This window comes from Homo sapiens, chromosome 9, assembly GCF_000001405.40.
Source record: "Homo sapiens chromosome 9, GRCh38.p14 Primary Assembly".
NCBI classification, from domain to species: Eukaryota; Metazoa; Chordata; class Mammalia; order Primates; family Hominidae; genus Homo; species Homo sapiens.
Window position 1 is genome coordinate 124,989,673 of NC_000009.12, and position 27,632 is coordinate 125,017,304.

The window sequence follows — 27,632 nt, forward strand, 5'->3', positions numbered from 1 at the left end:
CAGGAGTTTGAGACCAGCCAGACCAACATGGAGAAACCCCGTTTCTACTAAAAATACAAAATTAGCCAGGTATGGTGGCGCGTGCCTGTAATCCAAGCTACTCAGCAGGCTAAGGCAGGAGAATGGCCTGAACTTGGGGAGCAGAGGCTGCAGTGAGCTGAGATTACATCACTGCACTCCAGTCTGGCTGACAGACTGCATCTCACACACACACAAAAAAGGCCAGGCACGATGGCTCACGCCTGTAATCCCAGCACGTTGGGAGGCCAAGGTGGGTGAATCATCTGAGCTCAGGAGTTCGAGACCAGCCTGACCAACATGGAGAAACCCTGTTTCTACTAAAAATACAAAATTAGCCAGGTGTGGTGGCGTGCACCTGTAATCCGAGCTACTCAGGAGGCTAAGGCAGGAGAATGGCCTGAACTTGGGGAGCAGAGGTTACAGTGAGCCAAGATCACGCCATTGCACTCCAGCCTGGGCAACAAGAGTGAAACTCTGTCTCAAAAAAGAAAAAAAAAGAAATACTGGAAGCTAGGCTGGGAGCGGTGGTTCACGCCTGTAATTCTAGCACTCTGGGAGGCCGAGGTAGGCGGATCACCTCAAGTCAGGAGTTCAAGACCAGTCTGGGCAACATGGTGAAACCCCGTCTCTACTAAAAACACAAAAATCAGCCAGGTGTGGTGGCACGTGCTTATAATCCCAGCTACTAGAGAGGCTGAGGCAGGAGAATCGCTTGAACCCAGGAGGCGGAAGTTGCAGTGAGCCAAGATCGCACCATTGCACTCTAGCCTGGGTGACACAGCGAGCCTCCCTCTAAAACAAAACAAAACAAAACAAATTATCTATCAAAATTATCTATGGTGTGGATAAAATGATGGAAAGGGTAGAAATGTGAGTTGGGGACAGAAAGAGGAAAGGGAGATAAATTTCTCTTTCATAGTGGGAAATTAATACATAACGCTAAAACTGAAGAATCAAGAATTATCAATGCCAGTATATTATTTAGAAAAATAGTGGTTAGGGGAGAGAAGGAAGGAAAAAAGAAAAAAGAAAAATGGTGGTTAAAAAACAAAATAGCCAAAAACTATTTGAAGAGCGGCCTCTGGGAAGAGGCAAATAGGGGTTGCAACAAAAAGTGGGAGACTGCTGTTTTTAGTAGCAAATCTGGAGGGATTTCTGAGTGAGTAGTTCTCTCACCAGGACAGCACAATACAGCTAGTCTTCATAAATACTGTAGCTGAGACCCACCCCAGGTGAAGTGATCAGAATCACAGGAGGTGGATGGGACCCAGCTACAAGTGGTTCGAAAAGGGCTCTGAAAGTTTCTGATGCACAGAAATAGTTGAGAAATACAACTTTAAACTATATGCACGAGTTACTTCATAAACATTAACAAGTGGCCAGGCGCAGTGGCTCATGCCTACAATCCCAGAACTTTGGAAGGCCGAGGTGGGTGGATCACCTGAGGTTGGGAGTTCGAGACCAGCCTGACCAACATGGGGAAATCCCATCTCTACTAAAAATACAAAATTAGCCAGGTGTGGTGGCACATGCCTGTAATCCCAGCTACTCGGGAGGCTGAGGCAGGAGAATTGCTTGAACCCAGGAGGCGGAGGTTGCAGTGAGCCGAGATCATGCCACTGCACTCCAGCCTGGGTGACAGAGCAAAACTCCGTCTCAAAAAAAAAAAAAAAAAAAAAAAAAAATTAACGAGTAATATTTAAATGAAGAAATGTACATGAAACTGTTTAAATGAAGAAACATTTACAAAACACTTATATACTCATAAAACATCCAGACCTATATAAAACATATATAGCAAAGAAAATACTCCAGAAATAATACATCAGTTACCCAGTTCTCTTTTCTCATTAAAAACTTGCAGGTCGGGCATGGTGGCTCATGCCTGTAATCCCAGCACTTCGGGAGGCTGAGGTGGGCGGATCACGAGGTCAGGAGTTCAAGACCAGCCTGACCAACATGGTGAAACCCCATCTCTACTAAAAACACAAAAAGTAGCCAGGTGTGGTGGCGTGTGCCTCTAGTCCCAGCTACTTGGGAGGCTGAGGCAGGAGAATCGCTTGAACCCAGGAAGCGGAGGTTTCAGTGAGCCAAGATTGCACCACTGTACTCCAGCCTGGGCGACAGAGCAAGACTCTGTCTCAAAAACAAAAAACAAAAACAAAACAAACCAAAAAACTTGCAAAGTGGTAGCTTAAGACTTTACAATGCTTAATTTCATTTCATCTAATTAATTTATTAGAGATACGGTGTTGCTCTCTCACTCAGGCTGGAATGCAGTGGCACGATCGCAGCTCATGCATCTTTGAACTCCTGGGCTCAAGAGATCCTCCTGCCTCAGCTTCCTGAAGTAGCTGGGACTACAGGCTCACAAAAACATGCCTGGCTAATTTTTAAATTTTTAAAATAGATTTGGGATCTTGCTATCTTGCCCAGCTTTGTCTCAAACTGCTGGTTCAAGTGATCCTCTTGCCTTGGCCTCCCAAAGTGCTGGGATTACAGGTGTGAGACACTGCACCCAGCCTACAAATGCTTTTGTGGGAAAAATAAATATGAGACACCTTTATATGCTACCAAAGAGAACTACATGCTTAAATTAAATGTAGTAAGTAATATTAATTTCTAAAAAGACTAAAATTGGTCTGTGCCATGATCTGATTTGCCTACTCCATATGGGGTTCTCTTTTCATTTCTTTTTTTTTTTTGTTGAGACAGAATCTCACTCTGTCACCCAGGCTGGAGTGCAATGGCACGATCTTGGCTCACTGAAACCTCCATCTCCCGGGTTCAAGCGATTCTCCTGCCTCAGCCTCCCAAGTAGCTGGGACTACAGGTGCACACCACCCCTCCCAGCTAATTTTTTAATTTCCAGTAGAGACGGGATTTCACCACGTTGGCCAGGCTGGTTTTGAACTCCTGACCCCAAGTGATCCGCCCGCCTCAGCCTCCCAAAGTGCTGGGATTACAGGCATGAGCCACTGCACGCCTGGCCTCCCTTTTCATTTCTGAAGATTGGTATGTTCTGGACGATTTATTTCTTCAGAGGAGTGACAGTGCCTGTGCCATCAAAAGCAAACAACAACAACAAAAGACTTGCTATTATTCCACAGCTGTCCTGTGCATCACAATATTAAAATCTAAAATTAAGCCATGATGCATTACTTGAGCAAATACATTTCCAATTATACACAATGGTGTCTTTAAAAGTCGGCATCCAACATTCATCCTAAATCTAAATAGTCCTCTGGAAATAGCAGGCACATACAATGAATGGTATTGCTGAGAAGTGGTATCCAATAATGCCCAATTAAATTGGGAGAAACTAATGGATTGCTAAAGTACTCTCAATGATGCTAGATCATGTTAAACAATACATTGGACCCAGTGCAAAAACACATTCTGTCACATCACCAAACTGCTGCAACAAATTCATTTTCATTGACAAAGACAGAGTACTTCTTTTGAATTCTGTGAAGACACAAAATGCCTGGACCCCTCTGGCTTTATAAGTTTAATTGGGGTAGCCAATAAACCTTTTCATTCAGCAGCTTCTCACATTCTTCCATTTCCCACAAAAACAAAACAAATATACAATTTAAGAAAGTACACTGCTGGCTGGGTACGGTGGAACACGCCTGTAATCCCAACATTTTGGGAGGCCAAGGCGGGTGGATCATCTGAGGTCAGGAGTTGGAGAACAGCCTGAGCAACATGGAGAAACCCCATCTCTGCTAAAAATACTAAAAATTAGCCGGGCATAGTGGCGCATGCCTGTAATCCCAACTACTTGGGAGGCTAAGGCAGGAGAATCGCTTGAACCTGGGAGGCGGAGGTTGCAGTGAGCTGAGATCATGCCATTGCACTCCAACCTGGGAAACGAGCGAAACTCTGTCTCAAAAAAGAAAAGAAAAGAAAGTACACTGCTAACTTTCCTAAAAATCAGAAGTTGTAATACTGAACAAAATGAGTAGGAGGAAAAATGCTGAAAAATGTATGGTGCATTGGAAGCTCTTGGAATAAAGAGTTTAAGTAAAACTAAACATGAAAACTAAATGGAAAATGTATACTTGGGGTCAGCTCTCTTGGCTACCAGACATTTTCATTGGTTTCCTGATAGAAACCTATCAGGAGTTTGCTTCTCCCTCTAACTGCAGTATGAACACCCACAACAGAAACAGTTTGAAGTGGCAGATCTGTGCACCCAGAATATTTTGAACACATTTTTCACTAATCAAACATTTTGACCAGATACAAAGGACTCTAAAGACTGTGCTTTCGTTTTCCTGTAAATTACTATAGTTTGAATTATAATATCCACCTTTAAAGTGTTTCACTGCTGGCATTTTTTTTTTTTTTTTGAGACGGAGTTTTGCTCTTGTTGCCCAGGCTGGAGAGCAATGGTACAATTTCAGCTCACCACAACCTCTACCTCCCAGGTTCAAGTGAGTCTCCCGCCTCAGCCTCCCAAGTAGCTGGGATTACAGGCACGCACCACCACGCCTGGCTAATTTTATATTTTTAGTAGAGATGGGGGTTTCTCCATGTTGGTTAGGCTGGTCTCGAACTCCTGACCTCAGGTAATCTGCCCGCCTCGGCCTCCCAAAATGTTGGGATTACAGGCGTGAGCCACTGCACCCAGCTGACCACTGGCATTCTTTATAAAATCACTGAAAATCATCACTTCAATAGTGAAATATAAAACGAAGGATGTTCAAGTTAGATCCCTGTCACTTATTTCAGCATTCAGGGCCATCTTTTTTTTGTGATTGTCACAAATTTTCAAAAAATCAAGTGCATGTAAAACAGTATGTTAATATTCAAAGACTAAAACTATGGGCTAGAAGTTTTACTTAAACTACAGCAGCTCAGCATGAGAAGGGGAAACGTTTGAACACTAGAGAAATTCACCCTTATACCTCTACCTCTATAAAAGAAAATTATTCTGGGTTATATAACAAAAATAAACCTCCCACCAGAGATCTTGGAAATCTTGAATTTTTTTTTCCTGCAGGAGGATTTATTATTTTCCACTGAGTGTCCATTCATGCGTTTTCTTCTTGTTTCTATTCATAGCACCCGATCCTGACTAGCATGCACAACCTCAAAAGAAAAGAAACACTAAATACAAACTGTGTAAAATTAAATAAAATAAAGCAAAATAAAAAGGCACACATTAAGAGTGGGTACCCTTGGGTTGGTGCCACAATGTCTACCTGTGCAATAGCTCTCATGGAACTCACCTTATACGCAACACTATTAGACGAATCCACAATGATGAACAGTGGCTTCCTGGTGAAAGGATAGAGATCCCCGGGATGAAGGCTGGGAAAACAACAACGAAGAACTGTTAAACTGTGTCAGCCACATCTCAGAAATCTTATTCTTCAGTTTGGTCTGCTCATATCTCCTTTGCATCATAGCACTGAGAGAAAAACAAAGACTAGTTAAGCAAAGGGGAAAAAAAGCCTGTATTTACTAGGATAGCCAAGATAGTTCTATTTGGAGAAAAAAAAAAAAGTTCAGAGACAATTGTTATTCAAGAATATCTAAGCTAAAGTGAAGTCTGTGTATTTAAAGATGACTAAACACACAGCATGAAAACCTCAGAAGCTGGCAAACAGATACCTGTTTCATATTTAAAAGCTCCTTGTAAGAACATCTGGAAACAAGATGTAATAACAAAACCAGATTTGTATTTCAATGAGTCTTCAAAATTTCTATTTTAAAGATTTTTAATATTTCAGGCTACATCTTAATACTGCAGGTAGTAAGTAGGAAAATCTTTTTACTATCACTATTTTTTTTTTTAAAGACACCGTCTTGCTCCGTGGCCCAGGCTGGAGTACAGTGGTGTTGTGCAATCGCAGCTCACAGCAACCTCCATGTCCCGGGCTCAGGTGATCCTCCCACCTCAGCCTCCTTGAGTAGCTGGGACTGCAGACATGTACCAACACAACCAGCTAATTTTTCTCTTTTTAGTAGAGATGGGGTTTCTCCATATTGCCCAGGCTGGTCTCGAACTCCTGAGCTCAAGCAATCTGCCCACCTCAGCTTCCCAAAGTGCTAGGATTATGGGCATGAGTCACTGTGCCCAGCTACTTTTTACCATATGTTTCCTCTAAACATTTGCATCAAGGGCTTGTTAAACATGCAGTTTGACTGGCCCACAGAAGAGCTACTGAACCCAAAGGCGGAAATCCAGTAACATGCATGTGAGAGCCAATGCGTAAGGTCAGAATCTTGGTGTGCGTGCTCTTTCCGATGACTGAGTACACGATGTGCATATGTGGATAGATACTAATGTAAATGTAAATTTATGAATGTTTCACTGAGCAATATCATCAAACTTCATTATATTTCAAATAAAAGTTTTTCTTTTATTGACAAATAAAAATTGTATATATTCAAGGTATACAATGTGATGACTTGTTAATGCATACATGTATAGTGATTACCACGATCAAATTAATCAACACCTCCATTCCCACACCGTTACCCTTCGTGTGTGTGGGCGGTGGGGCGGGGGTGGGGGGGTGGTGCTGGGGGCAGTGGGCAGAGAGGACACATAAGCTTTACTCTTTCAGAAAATTTCGAGTAAACAACAATTTTTGTTATTGTTGTTGTTTGAGATGGGGTCTCACTTTGTCACCAAGACTGGAGTACAGTGGCAAGATCATAGCTAACTGCAGCCTCGATCTCCCAGGCTCAAGTGATACTCCTGCCTCAGTCTCCCAAGTAGCTGGGACCATGGGCGTGCACCTCAACGCCTGGCTCATTTTTTACATTTTTAGTAGAGACAAGATCCTCTTATGTTGCCAAGGCTGGTCTTGAACTCCTGAACTCAAGCAATCTTCCCATCTCAGCCTCCCAAAGTGCTGAGATTACGGGAATGAGCCACCATGCTCGGTCCAACAATACAGTATTTTCATTTATTTTTTTTTATTTATTTATTTTGAGATGGAGTCTCGCTCTGTCACACAGACTGGAGTGCAGTGGTATGATCTCGGCTCACTGCAACCTCCGCCTCCCACGTTCAGGCAATTCTCCTGCCTCAGCCTCCCAAGTAGCTGGGATTACAGGCACATGCCACCACACCCGGCTAATTTTTTGTATTTTTAGTAGAGATGGGATTTCACCATGTTGCCAGGCTGTTTTCGAACTCCTGACCTCAAGTGATCCGCCCACTTCGGCCTCCCAAAGTGCTGACATTACAGGCCTGAGCCACTGCACCCAGCCAATATAGTATTTTTAATTATCACCACCATGCTGTACTTTAAATGATATTTATCTTACAACTGAGAGGCTGCACCCTTTAACCAACATCTCCCTATTTTCCCCAATCCTCAGCTCCTCAGAACTACCGTTGCACTCTGCTTCTGAGTGCAACTTTTTCAGATTCCACATATAAGTGATCATGCCATACAGGTTCAGTATTCCTAATCTGAAAATCCAAAACGAAAAATGCTCCAAAATCCAAAAAGTTTTCAGAGCCAACACGATGCCACAAGTAGAAAATTCCACACCTGACCTCACATGATGGATCATAGTCATGCAGGTGCACAACACATAGTTTATCCAGGATCTCAAAGGGAAAAATAAAATTACTTTCAGGCAATGTGTATGAGTTGTATATGAAACACAAGTCAATTTCATGGGTCCCATCCCTAAGGTACCTTACTATCTATATACAAATATTCCAAAATCTGGAAAAATCCAAAACCCGAAACACTTTTGGTCCCACATATTTCAGATAAGGGATATTCAATATGTATTAGAAACAAAGTTTTAGACCAGTCCAGTTTTCTTTATAACCAGATTGCTCTCAGCTAGAAAAATTCTAGAGCCAATGAGCCAATAACAGCCCAAGCAATGAAGTTGTTATGCTTAGAAAAAGAATGAACTCCAGGCACGGTGGCTCACGCCTGTAATCCCAGCACTTTGGGAGGCCAAAGCAGGCGGATCACTTGAGGTCAGCATTTCAAGACCAGAATGGCCAACATGGTGAAACCCCATCTCTACTAAAAATACAAAAATTAGCTGGGTGTGGTGATGCATGACTATAATCCCAGCTACTTGGGAGGCTGAGGCAGGAGAATCGCTTGAACCCGGAAGGCAGAGGTTGCAGTGAGCCAAGATAGTGCCACTGCACTCCAGCCTGGGCGGCAGAGTAAAACTCTGTCTCAAAAAAAAAAAAAAAAGAAAAGAAAAGAAAAAAGAAAAAGAACTTTTGTAGATGAAATTCTATTTGCTTTTGTATTTTTTGCATTTAAAAAAATTTTTTTTTAAGTTTTTGTAGAGACAGAGTCTCACTAAGTTGCCCAGGATGGTCTCAAACTCCTGGGTTCATGTGATCCTCCTACCTCAGCCTCCTAAAATGTTGGGATCATAGGCATGAGCCACTGCTCCTGGCCTGAAGTTCTATTTGTAATCATGTAACAACATTCATTTGTGCTATATTAAACCAACAAAACCTTGTATTAAAAAATTCAGGCCCAGCGCGGTGGCTCATGCCTGTAATTCCAGCACTTTGGGAGGCCGAGGCTAAGGTCAGGAGTTCGAGACCAGACTGGTCAACATGGCGAAACCCCATCTCTATGAAAAATAAAAAAATTAGCCAGGCGTGGTGGTGGCCACCTGTAATCCCAGCTACTTGGGAGGCTGAGGTAGGAGAATCACTTGAGCCTGGGAGATGGAGGTTGCAGTGAGCCAAGATCGTGCCACTGCACTCTAGCCTGGGCATGAGAGCAAGATTCCATCTCAAAAAAAAAACAAACTCAATACTAGAGGTTGGGAAGGGTAGGGGAACGGGGAACGGAGGTATAGGGAAGAGATTGTTAAAGATTAAAAAATTACAGCTAGATAGAAGGAATATGTTCTAGTGTTCTATACCACTGTAGCATGACTATAGTTAATAATATGTTATATAGTTTTTATTTTCTCTTTTTTGTTTTTTTGACACAGAGTCTTGCTCTATCACCCAGACTGGAGCACAATCTCAGTTCACTGCAACCTCGACCTAATGGGTTCAAGTGATTCTCCTGCCTCAGCCTCCTGAGTAGGTAGGACCACAGGCGCAAGCCACCACACCCGGTTAATTTTTGTATTTTGGTAGAGACAGGGTTTCATGTTGGCCAAGCTGGTCTCAAACTCCTGACCTCAAGTGATCCACCCATCTCGGCCTCCCAAAGTGTTGGGATTACAGGTGTGAGCCACTGCTATCAGCCTTTATCATAAATAGCTAGAAAAAAGATATTAAATGTTCCCAACACAAGGAATGGATGTTTGAGATGATAAGTATGCTAATTACTCTGATCTGATCACAATACATTACAAATATAGAAACATCATTAAGTACCCCAGGAATATTTACAATGATTATTTTTCAATTAAAAAAATAAAATAAAATAAAATGTGGCCGGGCACGGTGGCTCACACCTGTAATCCCAACACTTTGGGAGGCCGGGGCAGGTGGATCACAAGGTCAGGAGTTCAAGACCAGCCTGACAAACATGGTAAAACCCCATCTCTACTAAAAATACAAAAATTAGCCGGGCATGGTGGCTGGTGCCTGTAATCCCAGCTACGCAGGAGGCTGAGGCAGGAGAATCGCTTGAACCCAGGAGGCAGAGGTTGCAGTGAGCCGAGATCATGCCACTGCACTCCAGCCTGGGTGACAGGGCAAGACTCCATCTCAAAAAAAAAAAAAAATGTTTGGGCTGAACACAGTGGCTCACATCTTGTAATCCTAGCACTTTGTGAAGCTGAGGTGGGAGAATCACTTAAGGCCAGGAAATCAAGACTGACCTGAGTGACAGAGGAAGACTCCATCTCAAGAAAAAAATTTGTTTAAAAGTTCGTATTGATGTTACATGTATAATGTCCTGACATATTATTTATTTATGTATATATTTACTGTCTCCAACTAGAATGCAATTTTGTTCACTGACATATCCCTAGTGACTAAACAGTGTGTAACATATTTATTCAATGAATATCAACCAAAAGTTCTAATTTCCTAGGATAGACAGAGCCTGAATTATTGCTGGAATCCAAATAAGTGTTTCTGGTCTGTCCCTAAATCTTAGTCTAAGGGAATCATTCTAGTACTAGAAAAAACTCCCCATTTTACTTAATATTTTTTCTATTTATAGACAGAGGTATAATTTTTATAATAAGAGTAGACACCAGAATACATACCAGTGCATTTCCTTGTGGGACTGATTTCGTTTGTGGATGGCATCTCCATTAATAATATCCCGGTTACTATTAGTAAGTACACCTCCAAAATCATAAGGACCTATAAAAACAAAGGGAAGAATCCTAGACTTCAGTTGAAGACTAACACTGACCTGATGTTCAAATACAAAGGTACTGTGTGAATCTCTCATTGATTCAAGCGAAGATAATTACACATTTAAATTATTTTAAAATTTAACATTTTAATTTAATGGAGTATTTAAATGACTTCAGTATGTTGTCATTTTCAACATTTTAAAAAACATTTAATTATTCAGCAGTTCTTCAAACAGAATATAATGAGAAACAAAACAAGACTCTATGGCATCATTATTCTAAGTAATAAAAGGAATGGAGATCTGGGATGTTCAAAATGACCTTTACATTTCAAGCAAACTTAAAATCTCAGGTTTAACAATATTATTTTAAAAGGAAGTTGGTCAGACATGGTTGCTCATGCCTGTAATCCCAGCACTTTGGGAGGCTGAAGCAGGAGGACTGCATGAGGCCAGGAGTTCCAGACCAGCCTGGGCAATATAGTGAGACCTGTCTCTACAAAAAAATTTTAAAAATTAGCCGAGCATGGTGGTAGGTGCCTGTATTCCCAGGCTGCAGTGAACTATGATCACACCATTGCACTCCAGTCTGCATGACAGAGTGAGACCCTGTCTCAGAAAAAAAAAAAGAAGTTGCAGAATAAAATAAGCTTTTTTTTTTTTAAAGAATGAAATCTTAGTCTCATAAGTAAATACAATTTTAAATGAGCCACTAACTGTAAAACTTAGAAAAATATTTGAATAGAATTTGAAAATTCTCATTCACAAAAACTTCACCTTTAAGAATGTATTGCCAGATTTCAGCGTGCAAATATCCATTATTATCACTATTGTATCAAGCACTTTAGTTCTGGTTCTGAAGTTAGCCTTTTCCCACTAAATTCATATGAATTAGCTAAACTCTTGTCCAAATGGAACAGCAACTGTGGGATGTTCAGATAATCTCTCTCAAAGGACCTATCAAAGTACGATTACCTATCATACTTTGAAAAAAGTAAAGAAGTCAGTATGTTAAGCGGAAACCAAGAAAACTTGATTTAACAGTATATGAGACATACAGATAATTATAAATAAAAGTACTAACATTATTACAAAAAACTAAAGTAGTTTAAGATTTTACATTACTTTTAATGTTGTATTATATTTCACTTCTTAAAAAAATCACTGCAATGAAAAGGCTAAAGAGATTTGTTTTCATTTCAACATTTTAAGAGAATCTGGAGGTCATGCAAGGAAGATGGCAAGGACATGCATTTTATAAAGGAATGCAAATTTCAACAAACAAATGAAGAGGAAAATGTTAAGGATGTTAAGAATTTTTTTATTTTTTTATTTTGCCCAGGCAAATATTTAATTATCTTATTTACATCCAAGTTACTTATCTATTCTGACCAATTTCTGGACTGGTATGTTCTGGACAGTGTTACGTTTTTATTCTGAAACAGCATCCCGATATTCTACAGATTGAATCCATAAAACAAAATAAAGGACAGAAAACAAAATCATGACAAGGGCTTGAACTTTCACAGTTACGAAAGTACACTGATTTCTACAAAGACTTTCAGCCATCATGTAGCCATTGACCGGATTCCCCAATGCACTGAAAGCTCAGAAAAATTCAATGATGTGAAATAGATCATTACGCTTGGTTATTCCATCATCCTTTTCAACTTTGAAACACCAAACTCCTTATGTATATCTAAATGTATTTACATATTATGCTTTTGATACATTTGATAGTGAAGCAAGCATTTAATATATGAATTTTCTGATGATTTATGGGCTTTGACATATAACATTTCAGAAAATATGACAGACTGGGGTATCTACAAAATTATCAATCAACAAATAGACCAGGTTTCAAATTTGGAAGTCTGTCTAGAAAGGCTGAGATGGTCTGTGGGCTACGGGCCATCGTCTTGTAGAAAATAAAGAGAATTCAAGCCCTGCTCACAACAGGGAGCATTCCTTTATTGTACCTTCACTATCAGAACGACCTGTGGGGAAAACGCCAGTGGCCGACAGGTAAATCAGAAGCACGCTATTGGCAGGCAGCTCCTGAAATGAAAGAAAATCACATACACAAAACAACAAACAAGGATAAACAACATGGTTTTATTTAAAGTTCATGACATCTTAAAGTTGTGAAATAAATAAGAATGCACTGTTGTCTTTTCCAAGAGAAGAAACGCTCTTCTTGGTCCTGACTTTAAAACTATACACACGGCAGAGATTCATTATTAATCTATATTGTCAAAAGTTGCAAAGACATTCTCTGCTTCAAAAACCCCATCATTTGGAGAATATTCTCCGAAAACTTGAATGGAGAAGTAAAGATCCTGACTACATGGCTACAAGACAAAGTCCCTTCTGTGGCTTTCTCTACATAGACTTTGGGAAGAATTCTCCTATTTCTCACAGTTCTTTCAGATGATCTAAATGTTTCATAGAGCTCCTTGACTATATAAGAAGCCTAGACACTCTGCTTTTGTTTTTTAGTCTGTTTTTTTTTTTGAAACAGAGTTTCACTCTTGTTGCCCAGGTTGGAGTGCAATGGCGCGATCTCGGCTCACCGCAGCCTCCGCCTCCCGGGTTCAAGTAATTCTCCTTCCTCAGCCTCCCAAGCAGCTGGGATTACAGGCATGTGCCACCACACCCGGCTAATTTTGTATTCTTTTAGTAGAGATGGGGTTTCTCCATGTTGGTCAAGCTGTTCTTGAACTCCCGACCTCAGGTGATCCACCTGGCTTGGCCTCCCAAAGTGCTGGGATTACAGGAGTGAGCCACCACGCCTGGCCAATTCTGCATTGTTACACCTAAAATCATTGAGTAATAAAAAACTGGAGGAAGGAGAACCACTATTATCATTAATTAATGATGGGAATAATCACAACATCATAAGCAATTTTCATTCCCAAACAGCTATTTCACAGCTTACCAGGAGTACAAAAAAAAAAAAAGAAACAAAACAAAACAAAAATATCTATTATCAGGATCATTACTCTAAAGGCAGTTTTTCATTTTTATATTTTACCTAAACTCTTAAGTATTTTTTCAAAAGAGTGACTCTTAGATTTTAGTTAGGGCACACTTTCACCTCATAGTAAAAAGTACTGGATCACACATACCTTAAAAGACGCTGCTAAGAAGGTATATAGCTGGCTGAAGGTTGGTTTGTAGAGCAGATACTTGTGGGGGTTTTCTCGTCTAGTAGGCTTGTCAGCTGATTCCTATATTTACACACAGAAAACATTATACATAAAAGCTGCATTTGACAAATGAATTATCAATATCTATTTTCACTAGCCCTTATCAAGGAAGTCTTATTTTCACACTCAGTCTTACTGTGATGATCTATTTCTCCATGTCTCATCAAGTGAATTCTTTATTCAAGGCTGTAGTATCTGTTGAATAATCAGCGTTCCAACAGGAGAGACGCAGCCAGAGGGTTACCAAACTTGCAAATGTAAAAGAGGAGATTACCTGCATTCCTGGTTTATTCATCTGGGAAGCTAAATTCATTGGCTCCCTTTCCAGAGCTTGTAACATCCGGAACATGTCAACAGTTAGTTCACTGAACTTAACCTGCAAGAAAAAAAAAAACAAACACAACCTAGCCTTAATGCAACACGCAGACTTTAAAGACTTTTATCACGTTACTAGTTGTGACTTTCACATGTACTTCAGGGCTTTGGGTACCTTTTTCTCTAATATTTCGTTACAGAAATTTTCAAGCGATGGAAAGACTGGAAGAATTCTACAGTGACATCCATATGTTCATCATCTAGATCCTATAATAAGCATTTTTTATATTTGCTTTTTCACATACCTCTCCAGCCATATACATGTTTACTAATCAATAAACTTCCTCAGGTTTTGTTTTTTTAAGTAGTTACAGAAACACAGGGGGCCATGCATGGTGACTCACGCCTATAATCCCAGCACTTTGGGAGGCCAAGGCAGGTGGATCACCTGAGGTCAGGAGTTCGAGACCAGCCTGGCCAACATGGTGAAACCCCATCTCTACTAAAAATACAAAAATTAGCCGGGTGTGGTGGTGGATGCCTGTAATCCCAGCTACATAGGAGGCTGAGGCAGAAGAATCGCTTGAACCCAGGAGGCGGAGGTTGCAATGAACCGAAATCGCACCATCGTATTCCAGCCTGGGTAACAGAGAAAGACTCTGTCTCAAAAAAAATAAAGCAGCAGCAGCACAGAGACTATATTAGGTTCTACAAACATGTTAACCTCCACAGACTGGTGGATGAATTCACACGTGTAGGTAGTGTGCTATGTGAGGGGCAAGTTTTTCACTAACACCACAAGGATCTCCAGCCCAAATTCTTTTTTTTTTTTTTTTTGAGACAGAGTCTTGCTCTGTTGCCCAGGCTGGAGTGCAGTGGCACAATCTCAGCTCACTGCAACATCTGCCTCCCGTGTTCAAACGATTCTCCTGCCTCAGTCTCTGGAGTAGCTGGGATTACAGGCGTGTGCCAAAACACCTGGCTAATTTTTGTATTTTTAACAGAGATGGGGTTTCACCATGTTGGCCAGGCTGGTCTCAAACTCCTGACCTCAAGTCATCTGCCCACCTCAGCCTCCCAAAGTGCTAGGAATACAGGCATAAGCCACGATTCCTGACTTTTCAGCCCGAATTCTATACACAGAAGTTTGATAGTAATCCTTGCTACATGAGAAAAAAGAGCTAACTTTTGATGAATTAGCTATGCTGAAATACAACTGTGATCCATATATATATATATATATATATATATATATATATATATATATATATTTTTTTTTTTTTTTTTTTTTTTTTTGAGATGGAGTTTCATTCTCGTCACCCAGGCTGGAGTGCAATGGCGCGCTCTCGGCTCACTGCAACCTCCTCCTCCCGGGTTCAAACGATTCTCCTGCCTCAGCCTCCAGAGTAGCTGGGATTATGGGCATGCGCCACCACACCAGGCTAATTTTGTATTTTTAGTAGAGATGGGGTTTCTCCATGTTGGTCAGGCTGGTCTTGAACTCCCGACCTCAGATGATCCTCCTGCCTCAGCCTCCCAAAGGGCTGGGATCACAGGCATGAGCTACCGCGCCCAGCCTATGATCCATATTTTATAGTAATTTCTTCCATACATTTTGGCACTACACAATATTTAAGTCTATATCCTTTTCCAATTTCAGTAATACTTATATAGAACTTCAGGAACACACATGATAATAAAACAGATGAGAATTTTTTAAAGAACATGTTTCTATCAAATAAAAGAAGAGGAATTATTTAGTTAAGATGAGAATAAGTTTATGAAGATTACTAACTACACTTTCAAACATTTAACTCATTTAATATACGTGTGTGTGTATGTATGTGAGTTTCGCTCTGTCACTCAGGCTGGAGTGCAACGGCGCAATCTCGGCTCACTGCAACCTCCGCCTCCCACGTTCAAGTGATTCTCTTGCCTCAGCATCCTGAGTAGCTGGGATTACAGGCATGTGCCACCATGCCCAGCTAATTTTGTATTTTTAGTAGAGGCGGGGTTTCACCATGTTGGTCAGGCTGGTCTTGAACTCCTGACCTCAGATGACCCACCTGCCTCGGCCTCCCAAAGTGCTGGGATTACAGGCATGAGCCACTGCGCCCAGCCAAGAGACGGGGATTAAAGAAGGGGAAGAGGTTTAAGGAGATAAGTGGGCACTAATGCCTTGTTTTCCTGTAGTAAGGGTAGCATGGGCCTCCTGGCTAAGAACTGGTTGGTTGGTTGGAAGATGGCCCCTCCCACACATACACCTATGCCCAAATAAAACTGGATGCACAAAAAGATATGGCCTCAGAGGAGAACACTAGAAACAAATCTGCTCCAGAGACATAAACATGAAGGAAACTCTACCTTAGCCTTTGTTCTGAGAAGAGATCAAGAAAAGTCTCCCCCAAGAATTCACGGCCATATGCTGATTCTCATGTGGTTTGAGAATCTGAATTAACATTATTTGCATGGCTGAAAAATCTATAAGGTTTTTCACTTAAAAAGAACAAAAACTGATACTGCCCCCAAGTTTTGAGGGAAAAAGCAATGCAGATCTTCGTTGGAAGAAGGCATCCTCAATTCAGGTCTTACAGAATTCTAGCTGACAGAATTACATCAAAGAAGACTCAGAAACAAAAATCATAAAACGCATGAAGAAAAAAGGCACGCCTGATTCAGCAAACAGAAACAGGATGATACAAACATCATACATAACATGCAAAAGTCTAGGTGTGGCAGCTCACACCTGTAATCCCAGCACTTTGGAGGGCCAAGGTGGGAGGATCATTTGAGGCCAGGAGCTGGAGACCAGCCAAGAGGCGGGGATTAAAGAAGGGGCAACATAGTGAGATGCACACCCCCATCCCCGGTCTCTTAAAAGAAAAAAAGTTAGTTTCATATGCTTAAATAGAAGAAGTAATTAAAATCATGATTAAGCCAATCAAAGGAATATGTAGAAAATAACCTAATACATTCATTCATTCATTCATTCATTCATTTGAGACGGAGTCTCGCTCTGTCACCCAGGCTGGAGTGCAGTGGCGCGATCTCGGCTCACTGCAACCTCTGCCTCCCGGGTTCAAGTGATTCTCCTGCCTCAGCCTCCTGAGTAGCTAGGACTACAGGCGCACGCCACCACGCCCGGCTAATTTTTGTATTTTTAGTAGAGATGGGGTTTCACCATATTGGTCAGGCTGGTATTGAACTCCTGACCTCGTAATCTGCCCGCCTCGGCCTCCCACAGTGTGGGGATTACAGGTGTGAGCCACTGCACCTGACCTATACTTTTAAAAATAAAAAATACAATAAATGAAATGTAAAAACTGAGGCCAGGTGTGCTGGCTCGCACCTGTAATCCCAGCACTTTGGGAGACTGAGGCAGGTGAATCACCTAAGGTCAGGAGTTTGAGACGAGCCTGGCCAACATGGTGAAACCCCATCTCTACTAACAAATACAAAAATTAGCTGGGCGCGTAGGGCGTGCCTGTAGTCCTGGCTACTGGGGAGTTTGTGGTGGGAGAATCAACTGAACCAGGGAGGCAGAAGATGCAGTGAGCCGAGATCATGCCACTGCATGCTAGCCTGGGTGACAGAGCAAGACTGTCTCAAAACAAAAAGAAAAGAAAGAGAATGCTGGGGGATTTGATTATAAATTAATATGCAAGCAAATTATCAGATATATAGTAATTATAAATATTAATATGATAATTTTAAAAGTGAGAAACAAGCAATAGAACAGACCAACACACTTGTAGTTAGCATAACTAGAGAGTATAGTTAGCAGAAAAGGACTTTAAAATAACTACTAAGTGTGATCAACAAAATAGACATGGTAGAACACAAATGAAGAAATAGAGAATTCTGCCAGAGAATTAAAATCTACTAAAAAATAAAAAAGGGCCAGGTGCCGTGGTTCATGCCTATAATCCCAACATTTGGGAGGCTAGGGCAGAAGGACTGCTTGAGGCCAGGAGTTTGAGACCAGCCTTGGCAATACAGCAACACCCCATCTCTATAAAACATAAACATTTTTGGAAGGCTGAGGCAGGAAGATCACTTCAGCCTGGGAGGTCAAGGCTACAGTGAGCCATGACTGTGCCACTGCACTCCCACCTGCATGACAGAGCCAGATACTGTCTCTAAAAAGAAAAAAAAAAAATTTTTTTTAAGACAGGGTCTGCTTCTGTCACCCAGGCTGAAGTGTGTGGCACAATCATGGCTCACTGCAGCCTTGACTTCCCGGGCTCAAGTGATTCTTCCACCCCAGTCTCCCAAGCAGCTGGGACTAGAGGCACATGACCAACATCCAGCTAAGGTTTGTTTTTTAGTTCTTTTTCTTTTTCTTTTTTTTTTTGAGACGGAGTCTCGCTCTGTCGCCCAGGCTGGAGTGCAGTGGTCTGATCTCTGCTCACCGTAAGCTCCACCTCCCGGGTTCACGCCATTCTCCTGCCTCAGCCTCCGGAGTAGCTGGGACTACAGGCGCCCGCCACCATGCCCGGCTAATTTTTTGTATTTTTAGTAGAGACGGGGTTTCACCGTGTTAGCCAGGATGGTCTCGATCTCCCGACCTTGTGATCCGCCCGCCTCGGCCTCCCAAAGTTCAGGGATTACAGGCGTGAGCCACCGTGCCCGGCCCTTTATTTTTTTCTTTTTGAGACAGAGTCTCACTCTGTCACCCAGGCTGGAGTGCAGTGGCACGAATTTGTCTCATTGCAACCTCTGCCTCCAGAGTTCAAGTGATCCTCCTGCCTCAGTCTCCCAAGTAGCTGGGATCAAAAGCATAAGCCACCATGCCTGGCTTATTTTTAGTAGAGACAGGGTTTCACCATGTTGGCCAGGCTGGTCTCGGACTCCTAACCTCAAGTGATCTACCCAGCTAGGCCTCCCAAAGTAATGGGATTACAGGCATGAGCCACTGCCTGGCCTGATATTTGTATTTTTTGTAGAAATGGGGTTTCATCATGCTGCCCAGGCTAGGAAAAAAAAATTTAATCTATAAAACAAGAATCAAATGGAAAAATCCAGAGCTAAGAAAGACAATATGTGAAATATGAAACTTAATAAAAGGTTAAATAGCAGATTAAACACATCAGAAGATATGGTTAGTGAAATGGAAAAGAAGTCAACAGAAAACAGCCTAACTTAAACCTAGAGAGGAAAAAATGATGAAAAATACAGAAAAGAATATAACAGACACACGTGGCACTGTGAACGGGTCTACAAACATGTAACTGAGTCCTAGAAGTGGAGCAGAGAAAGAACAGAAGGGAAACAATACTCAGAGACATAATAACCATATTTCAAAATAGATGAAAGACATAAACCCATAGATTCAAGAAACTCTGTGAACCTCAAGCAGGATAAATAAAGAAAACTGCACCTGAATATAACATAGTAAAACTGCAAAGAATCAAAGAAAGTGAGAAAATCTTAAAAACACACAGAGGAAAGAAACATTTCCTTAAGTGGATATAATATGTGACTAATAAATCTAACAGACAATTTCTCAACAGAAATGAGAGAAGATAATGAAATTAAATCTTCAAAGTGCTGAAAAAAAATTATCAAACTCAAGTTGGAGATGTGCAATATACTGTCAGTAAGAGTTAAAAAAGAAATAAGAAAATACATTCAACTGAAAGAAAATATAAAATATAAAATATTATAGAAGAAGCAGGATTGGAAAAAATACAAAATATCAAAATATGTAGAATAAAATTAAAGTAATGCTTAAAGAGAATTTTACAGCTTTGGATTTTTATTTTATTTATTTATTTAGAGACGGAGTCTTCTTCTGTTGCCCAGGCTGCAGTGCAGCGGTGCAATCTGGGCTCACTGCAGCCTCCACCTCCTGGGTCCAAGCAATTCTCCTGCCTCAGCCTCCCAAGTAGCTGGAATTATAGGCACATGCCATCATGCCTGACTAATTTTTGTATTTTAAGTAGAGATCAGATTTTGCCATGTTGGCCAGGCTGGTCTAGAACTCCTGACCCTCAGGCGATCTGCCCCACTTTGCCTCCCAAAGTGCATGAGCCACCATGCCCAAAGGCATGAGTCACCACGCCCAGCCCAGGGATTTTTATACTAGAAGAGGAAAAAGAGCATAGTGGCTCACACCCGTAATCCCAACACTTTGGGAGGCCAAGCTGGGGGCAGATCACCTGAGGCTAGGAGTTTGAGACCAGCCTGGCCAACATGGCGAAACCCTGTCTCTACTAAAAATACAAAAATTAGCTGGGCCACTGTGATGGCACATGCCTGTAATGCCAGCTACTCAGGAGGCTGAGGCAGGAAAATCACTAGAACCCAGGAGCCAGAGGTGGCAGTGAGTCAAGATCACACCACTGTACTCCAGCCTGAGGGACAGAGTGAGACTCTGTCTCAAAAATAAAAATAAAGTCAGTTGGCCAGGCGAGGAGGCACGCCTGTAATCCCAGCACTTTGGGAGGCCAAGGTGCGCAGATCACGAGGTCAGGAGACCAAGACCATTCTGGTTAACACGGTGAAACCCTGTCTCTACTAAAAATACAAAAAATTGGAGGAGCCAAGATGGCCGAATAGGAACAGCTCCGGCCTACAGCTCCCAGGGTAAGCGACGCAGAAGACGGGTGATTTCTGCATTTCCATCTGAGGTACCGGGTTCATCTCACTAGGGAGCACGCAGTGGGCGCAGGACAGTGGGTGCAGCGCACCGTGCGCGAGCCGAAGCAGGGCAAGGCATTGCCTCACTCGGGAAGCGCAAGGGGTCAGGGAGTTCCCTTTCCTAGTCAAAGAAAGGAGTGACAGATGGCACCTGGAAAATTGGGTCACTTCCACCCCAATACTGCGCTTTTCCGACGGGCTTAAAAAACGGTGCACCAGGAGATTATATCCCGCACATGGCTTGGAGGGTCCTACACCCACGGAGTCTCGCTGATTGCTAGCACAGCAGTCTGAGATCAAACTGCAAGGCAGCAGCGAGGCTGGGGGAGGGGTACCCGCCATTGCCCAGGCTTGCTTAGGTAAACAAAGCAGCCAGAAAGCTCGAACTGGGTCGAGCCTACCACGGCTCAAGGAGACCTGCCTGCCTCTGTAGGCTCCACCTCTGGGGGCAGGGCACAGACAAAGAAAAAGACAGCAGTAACCTCTGCAGACTTAAATGTCCCTGTCTGACAGCTTTGAAGACAGCAGTGGTTCTCCCAGCACGCAGCTTGAGATCTGAGAACGGGCAGACTGCCTCCTCAAGTGGGTCCCTGACCCCGACCCCTGAGCAGCCTAACTGGGAGGCACCCCCCAAGTAGGGGCAGACTGACACCTCACATGGCCAGGTACTCCTCTGAGACAAAACTTCCAGGGGAACATCAGACAGCAGCATTCACGGTTCACGAAAATCCGCTGTTCTGCAGCCACCACTGCTGGTACCCAGGCAAACAGGGTCTGGAGTGGACCTCTAGCAAACTCCAACAGACCTGCAGCTGAGGGTCCTGTCTGTTAGAAGGAAAACTAACAAACAGAAACAGCATCCACACCAAAAACCCATCTGTACATCCCCATCATCAAAGACCAAAAGTAGATAAAACCACAAAGATGGGGAAAAAACAGAGCAGAAAAACTGGAAACTCTAAAAAGCAGAGCGCCTCTCCTCCGCCAAAGGAATGCAGCTCCTCACCAGCAACGGAACAAAGCTGGACGGAGAATGACTTTGACGAGTTGAGAGAAGAAGGCTTCAGACGATCAAACTACTCCAAGCTACAGGAGGAAATTCAAACCAAAGGCAAAGAAGTTGAAAACTTTGAAAAAAATTTAGACTAATGTATAACTAGGATAACCAATACAGAGAAGTGCTTAAAGGAGCTGATGGAGCTGAAAGCCAAGGCTCAAGAACTACGTGAAGAATGCAGAAGCCTCAGGAGCCAATGCGATCAACTGGAAGAAAGGGTATCAGTGATGAAAGATGAAATGAATGAAATGAAGCGAGAAGGGAAGTTTAGAGAAAAAAGAATAAAAAGAAACAAACAAAGCCTCCAAGAAATATGGGACTATGTGAAAAGACCAAATCTACGTCTGATTGGTGTACCTGAAAGTGACAGGGAGAATGGAACCAAGTTGGAAAACACTCTGCGGATATTATCCAGGAGAACTTCCCCAATCTAGCAAGGCAGGCCAACATTCAGATTCAGGAAATACAGAGAATGCCACAAAGATATTCCTCGAGAAGAGCAACTCCAGGACACATAATTGTCAGATTCACCAAAGTTGAAATGAAGGAAGAAATGTTAAGGGCAGCCAGATAGAAAGGTCGGGTTACCACAAAGGGAAGCCCATCAGACTAACAGCGGATGTCTTGGCAGAAACTCTACAAGCCAGAAGAGAGTGGGGGCCAATATTCAACATTCTTAAAGAAAAGAATTTTCAACCCAGAATTTCATATCCAGCCAAACTAAGCTTGATAAGTGAAGGAGAAATAAAATACTTCACAGACAAGCAAATGCTGAGAGATTTTGTCATCACCAGGCCTGCCCTACAAGAGCTCCTGAAGGAAGCACTAAACATGGAAAGGAACAACCGGTACTAGCCACTGCAAAATCATGCCAAATTGCAAAGACCATCGAGGCTAGGAAGAAACTGCATCAACTAACGAGCAAAATAACCAGCTAACATCATAATGACAGGATCAAATTCACACATAACAATATTAACTTTAAATGTAAATGGACTAAATGCTCCAATTAAAAGACACAGACTGGCAAACTGGATAAAGAGTCCAGACCCACCAGTGTGCTGTATTCAGGAAACCCATCTCACGTGCAGAGACACACATAGGCTCAAAATAAAAGGATGGAGGAAGATCTACCAAGCAAATGGAAAACAAAAAAAGGCAGGGGTTGCAATCCTAGTCTCTGATAAAACAGACTTTAAACCAACAAAGATCAAAAGAGATAAAGAAGGCCATTACATAATGGTAAAGGGATCGATTCAACAAGAGCTAACTAGCCTAAATATATATGCACCCAATACAAGAGCACCCAGATTCATAAAGCAAGTCCTGAGTGACCTACAAAGAGACTTAGACTCCCACACAATAATAATGGGTGACTTTAACACCCCACTGTCAACATTAGACAGATCAACGAGACAGAAAGTTAACAAGGATACCCAGGAATTGAACTCAGCTCTGCACCAAGCAGACCTAATAGACATCTACAGAACTCTCCACCCCAAATCAACTGAATATACATTTTTTTCAGCACCACACCACACCTATTCCAAAATTGACCACATAGTTGGAAGTAAAGCTCTCCTCAGCAAACGTAAAAGATCAGAAATTATAACAAACTATCTCTCAGACCACAGTGCAATCAAACTAGAACTCAGGATTAAGAAACTCACTCAAAACCACTCAACTACATGGAAACTGAACAACCTGCTCCTGAATGACTACTGGGTACATAACGAAATGAAGGCAGAAATAAAGATGTTCTTTGAAACCAACGAGAACAAAGACACAACATACCAGAATCTCTGAGACACATTCAAAGCAGTGTGTAGAGGGAAATTTATAGCACTAAATGCCCACAAGAGAAAGCAAGAAAGATCCAAAATTGACACCCTAACATCACAATTAAAAGAACTAGAAAAGCGAGAGCAAACACATTCAAAAGCTAGCAGAAGGCAAGAAATAACTAAAATCAGAGCAGAACTGAAGGAAATAGAGACACAAAAAACCCTTCAAAAAATTAATGAATCCAGGAGCTGGTTTTTTGAAAGGATCAACAAAATTGATAGACTGCTAGCAAGACTAATAAAGAAGAAAAGAGAGAAGAATCAAATAGACGCAATAAAAAATGATAAAGGGGATATCACCACCGATCCCACAGAAATACAAACTACCATCAGAGAATACTATATACACCTCTACGCAAATAAACTAGAAAATCTAGAAGAAATGGATAAATTCCTCAACACATACACCCTCCCAAGACTAAACCAGGAAGAAGTTGAATCTCTGAATAGACCAGTAACAGGCTCTGAAATTGTGGCAATAATCAATAGCTTACCAACCAAAAAGAGTCCAGGACCAGACGGATTCACAGCCGAATGCTACCAGAGGTACAAGAGGAACTGGTACCATTCCTTCTGAAACTATTCCAATCAATAGAAAAAGAGGGAATCCTCCCTAACTCATTTTATGAGGCCAGCATCATCCTGATACCAAAGCCGGGCAGAGACACAACCAAAAAAGAGAATTTTAGACCAATATCCTTGATGAACATCAATGCAAAAATCCTCAATAAAATACTGGCAAACCGAATCCAGCAGCACATCAAAAAGCTTATCCACCATGATCAAGTGGGCTTCATCCCTGGGATGCAAGGCTGGTTCAATATATGCAAATCAATAAATGTAATCCAGCATATAAATAGAACCAAAGACAAAAACCACATGATTATCTCAATAGATGCAGAAAAGGCCTTTGACAAAATTCAACAACGCTTCATGCTAAAAACTCTCAATAAATTAGGTATTGATGGGACGTATCTCAAAATAATAAGAGCTATCTATGACAAACCCACAGCCAATATCATACTGAATGGGCAAAAACTGGAAGCATTCCCTTTGAAAACGGGCACAAGACAGGGATGCCCTCTCTCACCACTCCTATTCAACACAGTGTTGGAAGTTCTGGCCAGGGCAATTATGCAGGAGAAGGAAATAAAGGGTATTCAATTAGGAAAAGAGGAAGTCAAATTGTCCCTGTTTGCAGACGACATGATTGTATATCTAGAAAACCCCATTGTCTCAGCCCAAAATCTCCTTAAGCTGATAAGCAACTTCAGAAAAGTCTCAGGATACAAAAATCAATGTACAAAAATCACAAGCATTCTTATACACCAATAACAGAGAAACAGAGAGCCAAATCATGAGTGAACTCCCATTCACAATTGCTTCAAAGAGAATAAAATACCTAAGAATCCAACTTACAAGGGATGTGAAGGACCTCTTCAAGGAGAACTACAAACCACTGCTCAATGAAATAAAAGAGGATACAAACAAATGAAAGAACATTCCATGCTCATGGGTAGGAAGAATCAATAACATGAAAATGGCCATACTGCCCAAGGTAATTTATAGATTCAATGCCATCCCCATCAAGCTACCAATGACTTTCTTCACAGAATTGGAAAAAACTATTTTAAAGTTCATATGGAACCAAAAAAGAGCCCGCATCGCCAAGTCAATCCTAAGCCAAAACAACAAAGCTGGAGGCATCACGCTACCTGACTTCAAACTATACTACAAGGCTACAGTAACCAAAACAGCATGGTACTGGTACCAAAACAGAGACATAGATCAATGGAACAGAACAGAGCCCTCAGAAATAACGCCACGTATCTACAACTATCTGATCTTTGACAAACCTGAGACAAACAAGCAATGGGGAAAGGATTCCCTATTTAATAAATGGTGCTGGGAAAACTGGCTAGCCATATGTAGAAAGCTGAAACTGGATCCCTTCCTTACACCTTATACAAAAATTAATTCAAGATGGATTAAAGACTTAAATGTTAGATCTAAAACCATAAAAACCCTAGAAGAAAACCTAGGCATTACCATTCAGTACGTAGGCATGGGCAAGGACTTCATGTCTAAAACACCAAAAGCAATGGGAACAAAAGACAAAATTGACAAATGGGATCTAATTAAACTAAAGAGCTTCTGCACAGCAAAAGAAACTACCATCAGAATGAACAGGCAACCTACAAGATGGGAGAAAATGTTCGCAACCTACTCATCTGACAAAGGGCTAATATCCAGAATCTACAATGAACTCAAACAAATTTACAAGAAAAAAACAAACAACCCCATCAAAAAGCGGGTGAAGGACATGAACAGACACTTCTCAAAAGAAGACATTTATGCAGCCAAAAAACACATGAAAAAATGCTCACCATCACTAGCCATCAGAGAAATGCAAATCAAAACCACAATGAGATACCATCTCACACCAGTTAGAATGGCAATCATTAAAAAGTCAGGAAACAGGTGCTGGAGAGGATGTGGAGAAATAGGAACACTTTTACACTATTGGTGGGACTGTAAACTAGTTCAACCATTGTGGAAGTCAGTGTGGCGATTCCTCAGGGATCTAGAACTAGAAATACCATTTGACCCAGCCATCCCATTACTGGGTATATACCCAATGGACTATAAATCATGCTGCTATAAAGACACATGCACACGTATGTCTACTGCAGCACTATTCACAATAGCAAAGACTTGGAATCAACCCAAATATCCAACAATGATAGACTGGATTAAGAAAATGTGGCACATATACACCATGGAATACTATGCGGCCATAAAAAAGGATGAGTTCATGTCCTTTGTAGGGACATGGATGAAATTGGAAATCATCATTCTCAGTAAACTATCGCAAGAACAAAAAACCAAACACCGCATCTTCTCACTCATAGGTGGGAACTGAACAATGAGAACACATGGACACAGGAAGGGGAACATCACACTTTGGGGACTGTTGTGGGGCGGGGGGAGGGGGGAGGGATAGCTTTAGGAGATATACCGAATGCTAAAAGACGAGTTAATGGGTGCAGCACACCAGCATGGCACATGTATACATATGTAACTAACCTGAACATTGTGCACATGTACCCTAAAACTTAAAGTATAATAAAATAAAATAAAATAAAATAAAATAAAATAATAAATACAAAAAAAAAATACAAAAAATTAACCGGGCGTGGTGGCACACACCTGTAGTCCCATCTACTAGGAAGGCTGAGGCAGGAGAATCGCTTGAACCTGGGAGGCAGAAGTTGCAGTGAGCTGAGATTGCACCACTGCACTCCAGCCTAGGAGACAGAGCAAGACTCTGTCTCAATAAATAAATAAATAAATAAATAAATAAATAAATAAATGTCAGTTATCTAAGCAAATTAAATTCAAAATAGGAAGAAGGAAATAAGAATCAGAATCAATGTAAGAGAAAAAATTAGAAAAAATCAGTATTTCATTTACTACAATATATCGAGGCCTATTAAAATGCCATAATAATGAAGTCAGAAGTATCAGCATAATAGACAAACAGACCAAAGGAACAGAATGAGACTCAAATATATTTGAACATCAGATTTATGATAAAAGTGACACTGCAGTGTGGCAGGGAAAAGATGGTCTTTTTAGTAAATGGTGCTAGGTCTACTGGAAATCCAGAAAGAAAATCTGACCCATACTTCACACTAAAATAAATCCCAAAGATATCATAGATCTAAATATGAAAGGTAAGGTAAGCAATGATTTCTCAAAATAGGACACAAAAAAGCTAATACCAGAAAGGAAAAAAATTATAAATTAGACTACATTAAAATTAAGGACTTCTGTTCACTGGAATCTCAGTATCTGGAACAGGGGCGTCTGGCATAGCGTAGATACTAATAAATATTTTAACAGATGTTTAAAGAAAAGGAGAAAAAGAGACAGAAGATATCAGAAGAGAGTAAAAGGCAAGACAAGAGTAGGAGAAGATAGTTCAACACATAAATCTGACAAAGGACTTTCATGTAGAATATATTCAGAACTCTTACAGATCAATAAGAAAATACTGGAAATGCTTGGTCATAGAGTGTGCACATATGGAGCTGTACTAGATAATGCCTGACACTTTTCTAAAGTAAATCTATCAATTTCTATTTCTACATAGTATGAAATATTCAGTTCTTGTACTAGTTGCCAGGATATGCTATTATCAGTTTCTTGGTCTCTTTTGTTTTTAGTCATCTAGTTCGGTGATATCTCA

At 41.3% G+C, this 27,632-nt stretch overlaps 1 protein-coding gene across 6 annotated transcripts in view; it reads right to left on the reverse strand.

Moving 5' to 3' along the window:
* SCAI (suppressor of cancer cell invasion) overlaps positions 1-27,632 on the reverse strand; it is a 200,921-nt gene that overhangs the window by 47,065 nt on the left and 126,224 nt on the right. For 4 of the 6 annotated variants that reach the window (XR_007061282.1, XR_007061281.1, NM_001144877.3 and 1 more), the window contains 5 exons: positions 13,797-13,898; positions 13,442-13,543; positions 12,293-12,371; positions 10,219-10,318; positions 5,262-5,343 (listed from right to left, as the gene is read on the reverse strand). Coding sequence is in view for 2 of the 6 variants with exons in the window: in NM_001144877.3 (NP_001138349.1) it covers positions 5,262-5,343; positions 10,219-10,318; positions 12,293-12,371; positions 13,442-13,543; positions 13,797-13,898 (465 nt within the window). In the remaining 4 variants the exon portion in view is untranslated. Of the gene's footprint in view, positions 1-4,994; positions 5,122-5,261; positions 5,344-10,218; positions 10,319-12,292; positions 12,372-13,441; positions 13,544-13,796; positions 13,899-27,632 lie in introns of all 6 variants that reach the window. The other 2 variants (XR_007061283.1, XR_929768.2) reach the window with 1 other exon arrangement.